Raw genomic sequence first — 12010 nt, 5'->3', positions numbered from 1 at the left:
CAGGACTCTGCATGATGGCGCCCTGTTCTACTCTGGCAGAGCTGGTATTCATGTTGCATGACAAAGTCCTCTTTATTCACCTTTTTCTCCCCAAATGAAAGGAAAGAGTCTCTCCAAGAGCTGCAAGCAGTGCTGCCTAGAACTGGGGAAGGGTGACACAGTTACTCCCTTGGCTTCCCTCACTGGTCTCTCACTTGGTCACATGCACCTCAAGTCCAATGGCTCTGAGCCCGGTACAGCACTAGGACTTGCCTGAGAACTACAGTCTTTGTGGCAGATACTGACTTTTATGTTCATTTAGTACCCAAGAGCACATTAGTCCGTAGTGATGGGACTAGCTAGAACTCAGGTTCTGACTGCTGGGAAGGACAGTTCTCTGGCTAGATCTGGTCTAAATGCTCCCCCAGTGGGTACCAGCAGAATTTTTCCTCATGTTGCTTTTCACTGAACCAAGGCAGCACAGAGTTTCAATGCAAAGTCCAGCAGTCACAGCTCTCTTTCCCCCATGCACACGTTCTTTGCTCAACACAGTCACTGACGGGGTTTGGGGATGGGTGATGTCAGTGATTCGAAAGTGTCTTTTCTACCTCCTTCAGTGCTTTTTAAAAAATATTGTGTCAAAACTAGGTACGGTGATTGCTTACCTGAGTTTTGCTTCTGATGAAGGTGCTTTCGTGTGTAAATAGTTGATCAGTTTGGTGTTCCTGCAGGGGTGATGATAACTGGAGTGTCCTTTATGGCCCTCTTGTTCCCTTCTAAAGTATATTGTAGTTAACCCTTCTATTTTAAATTGAAAACAACTTAATTTGAATCACGTACAAAACACAACATTTTTACTGCCCGCAGATAACACACATTTTATGCTCTTAAAATTAGTTTGCCTCTTTTAACATTGTATTAACACATTTTAATCTTCTAACTCTTGTATTAAGGTTAAGAATAACCTTGTTCACCACTTGTACGGTGTTGCATTAATTTTTATGTGTTCATGAACTTATATTCAGAGTTATGTTTTTCTGTGTTTTTGCTTTGCTTTTTAGCATGTGTTTGTTTCAATTTGAAGAACTTCTTTAAGCATTTCTGTTAAGGCAGATCTACTGCTAACTCACTCAGTTTTGTGTGTCTGAGAAAGACTTTACGTCTCCTTTAATTTTAAAGGATAATTTTGCTGAGCATATTATTTTTTGAGGGCAGATTTGTTTTTGTTTTTGTTTTTGTTTTGTTTTTTCTTACTCTTAATATTACCACAGTCTTCTCTGGTTTGTAAAGTTTCTGCTGATTCCCTTAAATGTGATGGTTTGTTCTTCTCTTGCTATTTTCAAAACTCTCTTTGTCTTTGTTTTTTTTGGGGGGGGTTTTTTGAGACGAGTCTCGCTCTGTTGCCCAGGCTGGAGTGCAGTGACGGGATCTCAGCTCACTGCAAGCTCTGCCTTCCGGGTTGACGCCATTCTCCTGCCTCAGCCTCCCGAGTAGAGTAGCCGGGACTACAGGTTGCAGCTGGGCTGCAACCACGCCCAGCTAATTTTTTGTATTTTTAGTAGAGACGAGGTTTCACCGTGTTAGCCGGGATGGTCTCGATCTCCTGACCTCGTGATCCGCCCGCCTCAGCTTCCCAAGGTGCTGGGATTATAGGCGTGAGCCACCACGCCCAGCCGTTGTCTTTGATTTTAAGCAATTAAATAATGTGTCCTGGCAAAGATCTTTTGATGCTTAGTTTATTTGGGGTTTTTGGGCATAATGAATTCGAATATGCTTTTCTTCTGCAGTTTGGGGAAGTTTTATATCTTTCTTCCTTTCTCTACTTATTTATTTATTCATTCATTCATTCATTTTTGATACAGGGTCTTGCTCTGTTACCCAGGCTACAGTGCAGTGGTATGATTAGGGTTCACTGTAGCCAGAACCTCCCAGGTTCGAGTGATCCTTCCACCTCAGCCCCACTTAGTAGCTAGGACCACAGGAACATACCACCATGCCCAGCAATTTTTTTCTTTTTTATGTAGAGAAAGGATTTCATCATGTCATCAAGACAGGGCTCAAAACTCCTGACTTCAAATGGTCTGTCTGCTTCAGCCTCCCAAAGTGCTGGGATTACAGGCTTGAGCCACTGCACCCAGCCTTATCTCAATTATTGTAGCCTTATATCATGTACCTAGTTAGAGACAAAGTATTTAAAAATATATCTTTCTAATATGAAAACACTTCTTAATAATTGTGACACATGACTTCAGTTCAAGACAGTGACAACTTTGAGAAGTTGGATACTGATGTTAGAAAAAGCTTTGGAAATGCAGAACTTCAGATTTAAAGGAGGAAGCTAACTGAGGCATTCCGTGTACTAGTTTGTAATTGCCCTGAGAGAGAGAAAACATTAGAAAATCTTAGTGAGGAACAGAACCTGAAAGAGTATTTCTGTTAAAGAATAGGAAAAATGAGGAATCAGAATTGCTGGACTTTGGCGTGCTTCACTCAGGCATCGTTTATGCCTGTCACTGAGATTGAAGCTAAAGGATAAGGAAGACAAATGAGTTAGTTGTAGAGAGTAGTACTTATCATCTTGGCTTTTAGACATGTAGAATTTAAATCTTCAAAGAATGTTTAAGTAAAAATTTCTGTTAAAAGATCAGGTTTATGTACACATCTATTGCTTAAGGAGTCTGAAATATAGGCTAGAGTACTAAATAGTTGTTGATAAGGTGATGAATACTGACGTTTCTGAACTCTTAGCTATTTTCATAACACCATGGAAGGACTGCATTAAGTACTACATTAGTAGATTGACTAACCTCGTTTTAATTTATTCAACTCCTACAGTTTTTCTATATTAAGATGCATTTTTAAATATATCAAATTTGCCAATAGCTACACTTTCCCAATATACATATGAATACTTTCCCCCAGATATTGTATTTTGGAATTTTTCAAACCTACAGAAAAGTTAGGGAGATAGTACGCTGCATGCTGATAGAACATTCACCTGCTTTTATCAGTTAAGTTTTTGCCGTGTTTATTTGTAGGCTTTCTATATTAATATGCTCACATAAACATGTTTAGGTGAACTAGGTGAAATTACATTACATATATTGTATGCGACCCCAAATAATTCATCTCTGCATCTTTAATACAGTAATTTCCTTTCATAGCCACCATACCATTGTTATACCTAAGAAAATTAAAAACATTATATTATATCTAGATAAAATTTACACCCTATTAAAAAACGGCCTTTTTAAAAGTCTTGCTTCTTCACTTATTTTTTTTATTTTTATTTATTTATTTATTTATTTATTTATTTTTTTGAGACAGAGTTTTGCTCTTGTTGCCCAAGCTGGAGTGCAATGGCGTGATCTCAGCTCACCGCACCTCCGATTCCTGGGTTCAAGTGATTCTCCTGCCTCAGCGTCCCTCGTAGCTGGGATTACAGTTGCCCACCACCATGCCTGGCAGCTAATTTTTGTATTTTTAGTAGAGACGGGGTTTCTCCATGTTGGTCAGGCTGGTCTCGAACTCCCAACCTCAGGTGATCTGCCCACCTCAGCCTCCCAAAGTGCTGGGAGCCACTGCACCTGGCCTATTTATTTTTTTATTATTATACTTCAAGTTTGGAGGTACATCTGCAGAACATGCAGGTTTGTTACATAGGTATACACATGCCATGGTGGTTTGCTGCACCCGTGAACCTGTCATCTACATCATTCTCAGCAAACTAACACAACAACAGAATACCAAACACTGCATGTTCTCACTCATAAGTGGGAGTTAATCAGTAAGAACACATGGACACAGGGAAGGGCCTGTCAAGGAGTCGGGGGCTAGGGGAGGGATAGCATTAGGAAAAATACCTGATAAAGATCTTGCTTCTTTTCAGAATCCATTCTTATTCTCAGTTCAGGTTTACTTAAGGTTCCCATTAAATTTAGTACTCGGTTGTTGTATCTGTTTAGTCTTTTTTAAGTATGTAAGAACCCTTTCTAATACATTCTTTCTTTAAGAAACAGATTTAAAAGAAACAAGCCAGTTGTTTTTAGAATGTTCCCTATTTTTTTATCTATCTGGTTCATTTCCTTGTATTTGATACAGGTTAGACTTTTTTTTTTTTTTGAAGTAGTGGAAATAATGTTGCAGTGTAGTATTTTCCTGATTGTATCCACAACAGTTGCTGTGATACAATGTTGCTGTGTCATATATAAATATATTTTTATGTACATAATATTTTTTATAAAAATATATTTAAATATTTAAAATTTTATATATAATATATTGCTGTGATATAATCAGGCAAATAAAACTATAATATTGCTGTGATAAAAATGTTTATTACATATAGTATATAATTTTCATTTTGTATTATGAGATGTTACTAAATTTACCTTAAAGCTTAAAAAAATTAGTGAAAAGGTATTTGTTCCTGCCCTTTATCTGTGTTCATCAAAATAAAGATTTCTACTCTTGATTTTAATTTTAAAATGACTTTATCGAAAGTGAAAGGAAATCCTCACTTTTTGCAACTTATTGATAGTTTCAGATACTTGAAATGTATTGTTTTGGTCTGTGTATTCTTTATATAGCTCTGTGACTTTTCGTTTTCATGAGACTTGTGTATTCATTATGCTTTACTATTAAAAGCATTTCTTTGAACAGAATCCTTGAAAGGAATTAAGTGATAAGGCTGCAGGTACTGGTTAGATTTTTCAGTGTAATTTAAAAGGACCTTCTTTGTGTAGTTAAATGGCAGATGTGATCTGCTACAATAATAAATAAGACTAGCTGTGAGAAGCATAGTAAAAAATAAAAACTTTAGAGGGAGGTTAACTAACCTTATTATCAGTTAACCACATTATTAATTCTGGGTTATGCAACAATAGGTTAGTTTGTTTTTTGCTATTTAAAGCACCATGATAAATATGAGGCCACTTGGAAATCCATCCAAAACAATAGTAAGTATCACATTTTCTTCTGAAAAGTTGAACTTTAGGAAATCTTTAATTCAGGGGAGTATGTCAGACAGGAATTAAAGTAGAAATCATTCTTTTTAGAATACATAGTTTTAAAAATCCATCCTTAGTGATCCCCCAAATAATTATGTATTGTAGAATTCAATACATAAACTAGTAGTTAAAAAGTAACACAAACTAGTAGTTAAAAATACACAAACTAGTAGTTAAAAAGTAATTTTTCTTACCCAGGTGTGGTGCTGTGCACCTGTGGTCTCAGCTACTCAGGAGGCTGAAAAGGGAGAATCACTTGAGCCCAGAAGGTATAGGTCACAGCAGTGAGCCAAGTCACTGCACTGAGCCTCAATGACAGAGTGAAACTATGCCAATAAATTAATTAATTAATTAATTTTCGGAAATTTAAACAGTTCAATTCCAAAGAAATCAACATAAAGTTCGTTTGTTACATATCCTTTGACTATCATTTAAAGCATTACTTATATTTCACTTTTAAAATTTGCTGTCTTAAACGTAAATGTACTTTCGTTCGTTATGCTTCTTATGATGTAACAACTGTTATTTGTCTGTCTTTAACTTTGTAGACTTGGGAGATGTTCTATTTAATGTCACAAAAAAGTGTTAAAAGGAGAACAGAATAGAACAGTGGTGAGAAATCCAAGCCCTGGAGTCCGATCTGCATATAATCTTGGTTTCTTCACTTCTTTGTCTTGGAGTCTCATGGCCAGTTACTAAACTTCTATAATTCTAGCTTCCTTTTCTGCAAAAGTAATAAATAGTAACAATATCTTACATGATTTTTCAGAAATTATTTGGGCCTGATAGTAGAGAATGGTCTAAACATGTTTTCAATGTGTGAACTACTAAAATTTCAGGTGGCACTTATGCCACAACTTTTTCAAAGTCAAAAACTAAACTTTAATAATTGTAATTATTTTAACTGTGTTTAGGAATTTTTCATACTGAGTTCAGATAATATGTTTCTCATTTATTGAGTACAAATTTTTAAACCTTTTGCATATCATAATAGTTTTATATTGCTACTTTAACAAAATACTACAGATTTCCTGACCTAACACATAAATTTATTATCTTAGAGATCTAGGAAGCAATTGTAAGGAAGAATCTGTTGGCTTGCTTTTTCTAGCTTCTTGAGACTGTCTACATTCCTTGATTTATGGACCCCTTCTGTCTTTGAAACCTGCAGAGTCTGATCATGTCTTTCTCACATTGCATCATTCTGACACTAATGCTTCTGTTTCCCTCTTTTATTTTTATGGCCCCTTGCCATTATATTGGACCTAGCCAGATAATACAGGATAATTGTCAGATTTCAAGGTCAGCTGATGAGATACCTTAAATTCATCTGCAAATTTAATTTCCTTTGCCTTGCTGCATCACATAATCACAGATTATGGGAATTAAGATGTGGACATCCTTGTTAGGGAGGTGGATGTAGTTGTTATTCTGCTTACTGTATGTATGTTAACACTCTCATTCTTATTATCTTACTCTTCATAGTATTATTATAAAATAGGTGTCATTATTCTCTTTTTATAGGTGAGGAAACTCAGGCCCAGGATTTGCTCCAAAGAAACTAGTTTACTACAAAGTAATGGATACATAGACACTAGAGCCATACTGTTTGTATTTAAATCTCAGCTTCCTTTTTTGTATACCTGAATTTCCTCATTTCCTAACATATTTATTTATAAATCTGTAGTGTGCATCAATTGCCCAGGAAAATAAAGCCCCTCATTGTTACATTTTAAAGTTGTTTTATTTTGATATTTTTATTTCTAATCAATACTTTTCCTTATTCTAATATTACAAGCGTATTTTATTTCAAGTATATTTTATCCTCTACTCTGAATAAAATCCAACTCTAAAGCATCTCTTTTTAGAAGCCTTCATTTCTCTAGCCTGTTGTCTTTGCTATCCACAGTCCTCATCATCTTAAGTGTCTTATCATTGTACAAATAGGTTATTGATTAAGTTAGAATACACTGTGTACCCTATGTAGATTAGAGGTTTTTTTGTTTGTTTGTTTTTGAGACAAGGTCTCACTGTCACCCAGGCTTATGTGCACTGACATAATCTTGGTTCACTGCCATCTCTACCTCCCAGGCTCAAGCAATCCTACCACCTTAGACTCCCAAGTAACTGGGACCACAAGTGCCTGCCACCACACCGGCTAATTTTTTTTATTTTTGGTAAACAAAGGGTTTTTCTGTGTTGCCGAGGTTAGTCTCAAACTCCTGAGCTCAAGGGATACCCCCACTTCCACCTCCCAAAGTGCTGGGATTACAGGCGTGAGCTACCACACCCAGACATGTACACTATGTAGAATAGAATGCACAATGTATTTCAAATAGAATTGTCAGGGTTATCAAATGTTTAGTGAAACTGTTGATGGTTATTGTGATACCTTGGTTTTTGTCTTCTTAGATTAAAATAATGTAAACAAGAGACACACAGCAAAAGGGGTGTGGCATAGAGTAATTCTTTGCAAAAGAAAAAGAGTATGTTGAAATTTAGGTACAGAATAGAGAGAATACACCCTGAGAAAAAGAGAGATGACACCCTGAGAGAGGATGGGCTGCTTATAGGTATGAAACTGGCCTGAGGGAGACTCCCTGTATGGGAATCTTACATGATTATTTGTAAGGAGGTCAGAAAGATGTTCCTAGTAAGCATGTTGTGGGTGGTCCTCTGGGTCCTCAAGATACTTGTTCATATGTCATATGTCTCATTAGCATCTTAAATCCCTACCCACGGGTGTGCGTTTTCCTATTAAAATGAGCAAATGGTCATTATGAGGATAGGTAAAATCAAAATGTACGTGCTCTTTAGAGGGGAAAGTCTACTGAAGATAGCTTAGGTTGAATGAGCCCAGTGACAATGCAAATGCTAAGGCTTATTGTGTTGGCTATAAGATCATCCCTGTTGAAGCAGCATGCCAAGAACACAGTCATTTCCTTGATTACTTATTTTGCCGCAAAACCTTATTTGTTCTTTTCTTTCAATGCAGAAGCCATTTTTATTCCACGCCTTTTCATATATTCTTTTATCCAAACAACTAAAAAAAAGTCTTAAAAAATAAAATTGATTTGACTCTAGGAGGTGGCTGGCAAAATGGCCGAATAGGAACAGCTCTGGTCTACAACTCCTAGTGAGATCAATGCAGAAGGCAGATTTCTGCATTTCTCACTGAGACACCCTCCTCATCTCACTGGGACTGGTTAGAAAGGGGGTGCAGCCCACAGAGGCGGAGCCAAAGCAGAGTGGGGCGTTGCCTCATCCGGGAAGGGGTCAGGGAACTCCCTTGCTGAGCCAAGGGAAGCCGTGAGGGACTGTACCATGAGGAATCATGCACTTGGCTCAGATACTATGCTTTTCTCAATCTTCAACCCACAGACCCAGAGGATTCCCTCAGGTGCCTACACCACCAGGGCCCTGGGTTTCAAGCACAAAACTGGGCGGCCATTTGGGCAGACACTGAGCTAGCTGCAGTTTTTTTTTGTTTTGTTTTGTTTTGTTTTGTTTTGTTTTGTTTTGTTTTGTTTTGTTTTGTTTTTCATGCCCACAGTGGAGCCTGGAAGGGCCACCAAGACAAAACAGTTCAATCCCCTGGAAAGGGGGCTGAAGCCAGGGAGTCAAGTCGTCTAGCTTAGCAGAGCCCATGGAGCCCAGGAAGCTAAGATCCACTGGCTTGAAATTCTCGCTGCCAGCACAGCAGTCTGAAGTAAACCTGGGACACTGGAGCTTGGTGTGGGGAGGGGTGTCTGCCATTACTGAGGCTTGAGTAGGCAGTTTTCCCCTCACAGCGTAAACAAAGCCTCTGGAAAGGTCAGAATGGACAGAATCCACTGCAGCTCGACAAAGCCGCTATAGACTGCCTCTCTAGATTCCTCCTCTCTGGGCAGGGCATCTCTGAAAGAAAGGCAGCAACACCAATCAGGGGCTTATAGATAGAACTCCCATCTCACTGGGACATAGCACCTGGGGGAAGGGGTGGCACACTTAAACAGTTCCCTGCCAGTTGGCTCTGAAGAGACCAGCAGATCTCCCAGCACAGTGCTCAAGCTCTGCTAAGGGATAGACTGCCTCCCCAAGTAGGTCCCTGAACCCCATGCCTCCTGACTAGGAGACACCTCCCAGCAGGGATTGACAGACATTTCATAGAGCAGAGCTCCAGCTGGCATCTGATGAGTGCCGCTCTGGGACAAAGCTTCCAGAGGAAGGAGCAGGCAGCAGTCTTTGCTGTTCTGCAGCCTTCGCTGGTGATACCCAGGTGAACAAGGTCTGGAGTGGACCTCCAGCAAACTCCAGCAAACCTGCAACAGAGGTGAATATTAGAAGGAAAACTAACAAGCAGAAAGGAATAGCATCAACATCAACAAAAAGAACATCCAAACAGAAACCCCATCTGAAGGTGACCAACATCAAAGATCAAAATTAGATAAATCAGTGAAGACGAGGAAAAACCAGCCCAAAAAGGCTGAAAATTCCAAAAACCAGAACACCTCTTCTCCTCCAAAGGATCACAGCTCCTCACCAGCAAGGGAACAAAACTGGACAGAGCATGAGTTTGATGAACTGACAGAAGTAGGCTTCAGAAGGTGGGTAATAACAAATTCCTGTGAGCTAAAGGAGCATATTCTAACCCAAAGCAAGGAAGCTAAGAACCTTGAAAAAAGGTTAGACGAATTGCTAACAAGAACAACCAGTTTAAAGAAGAACATAAGTGACCTGATGGAGCTGAAAAACACAGCACGGGAACTTCGTGAAGCTTACACAAATATCAATAGCTGAATCGATCAAGTGGAAGAAATCATATCAGAGATTGAAAACAACTTAATGAAATAACATGTGAAGGCAAGATTAGAGAAAAAAGAATGAAAAGGAATAAACAAAGTCTGCAAGAAATATGGGACTATGTGAAAAGACCGAACATACATTTGATTGATACACCTGAAAGTGACGGGGGAGAGTGGAACCAAGTTGTAAAACACTCTCCAGGATATTATCCAGGAGAACTTCTCCAAGCTAGCAAGACAGCCCAACATTCAAATTCAGGAAATACCCAGAGAACACCACAAAGATACTCTTCGAGAGAGCAACCCCAAGACACATAATCATCAGATTCACCAAGGTTGAAATGAAGGAAAAAATGTTAAGGGCAGCCACAGAGAATGGTCAGGTTACCCACAAAGAGAATCCCATCAGACTAACATTGGATCTCTCTGCAGAAACCCTATGAGCCAAAAGAGAGTGGGGGCCAATATTCAACGTTCTTAAGTAGTTTTCACAGAATTTCATATCCACAGAATTTCATATCCAGCCAAACTAAGCTTCATAAGCAAGGGAGAAAACAGAATCATTTACAAACAAGCAAATGCTGAGAGATTTTGTCACCACCAGGCCTGCCTTAAAAGAGCTCCCGAAGGAAGCACTAAATATAGAAAGGAACAACTGGAACTAACCACTGCGAAAACATACCAAATTCTGTAGACCATCGACACTATGAAGAAACTGCATTAACTAAATGGGCTAGCATTATAATGACAGGATCAAATTCACACATAACAATATTAACCTTAAATGATAGTGGACTAAATGTCCCAATTAAAAAGACACAGACTGGCAAATTGGATAGACAGTCAAGACCTATCAGTGTGCTGTATTCAGGAGAACCCATCTCCTGTGCTGAGACACACTTAGGATCAAAAAAAAAGAGAGAGATGGAGGAAGATTTAGCAAACAAATGGAAATCAGATAAAAGGAGGGGTTGCAATCCTAGTCTCTGATAAAACAGACTTTAAACCAACAAAGATCAAAAGAAAGAAAGAAGGGCATTACATATTGGTAAAGGGATCAATGCAACCAGAAGAGCTAACTTTCCTACATATATATACAGCCAATACAAGAGCACCTGGATTTATAAAGTAAGTTCTTAGAGACCTACAAAGAGACTTAGATTCCCACACAATAATAGTAGTGACAGTAATAGTGGAAGGCCTTAATACCCCACTGTCAGTATTAGATCACCAAGACAGAAAATTAACAAGGATATTCCGGACTTTGAACTCAGCTCTGGACCAAGCAGACCTAACAGACATCTATGGAACTCTCCACCCCAAATCAACAGAATATACATTCTTCTCAGCACCACATTGCACTTACTTTGAAACTGACCACATAATTGAAAGTAAAACACACCTCAGAAAATGAAAAAGAATGGAAATCTTAACAGTCTCTGAGACCACAGTGCAATCAAATTAGAACTCAGGTTTTAGAAACTCACTCAAAACCCCACAAATACATGGAAACTGAACAACCTGTTCCTGAATGACTACTGGGTAAATAACGAAATTAAGGAAAAAAATAAAGAAGTTCTTTGAAACCAATGAGAACAAAGGCACAACATACCAGAATCTCTGGGACACAGCTAAAGCGTTGTATAGAGGGAAATTTTTAGCACTGAATACCCACAGGAGAAAGCAGGAAAAATCTAACTTCAACACACTAACATCACAATTAAAGAACTAGAGAAGCAAGAGCAAACAAATTCAAAAGCCAGCAGAAGACAAGAAGTAACTAAGGCGGGAACTTCACAGCAGGACTAAAGAAGATAGAAACACAAAAAACTCTTCAAAAAATTAATGAATCCAGGAGCTGATTTTTTGAAAAGATCCATAAAATAGACCACTATCCAGACTAATAAGGAAAAAGAATCAGATAGATGCAATAAATAATGATAAAGGGGAGATCACCGCTGATCCCATAGAAATGCAAACCACAATCAGAGAATACTATAAACACCTCTATGCAAATAAACTAGAAAATCTAGAAAAAAGGAATAAATTCCTGGACATATACACCCTCCCAAGACTAAATCAGGAAGAAAATCGAATCCATGAATAGACCAATAACAAGTTCTGAAATTGAGGCAGTAATTAATACCCTATCAACCAAAAAAAACTCAGCACCAGACAAATTCACAGCCAAATTCTATCAGAGGTACAAAGAGGAGCTGGTACCATTCTTTCTGAAAG

At 38.3% G+C, this 12010-nt stretch overlaps 1 protein-coding gene across 105 annotated transcripts in view; it reads left to right on the top strand.

Moving 5' to 3' along the window:
• The window catches only part of UTY (ubiquitously transcribed tetratricopeptide repeat containing, Y-linked), a 246776-nt gene that overhangs the window by 202589 nt on the left and 32177 nt on the right, over positions 1-12010 (top strand). The window lies entirely within an intron of this gene.

The sequence above is a fragment of the Homo sapiens genome, chromosome Y, assembly GCF_000001405.40.
Source record: "Homo sapiens chromosome Y, GRCh38.p14 Primary Assembly".
Lineage (NCBI taxonomy): Eukaryota > Metazoa > Chordata > Mammalia > Primates > Hominidae > Homo > Homo sapiens.
The sequence above is the reverse complement of the archived record's forward strand: the minus strand, read 5'-3'. Positions and strand labels throughout refer to the sequence as shown.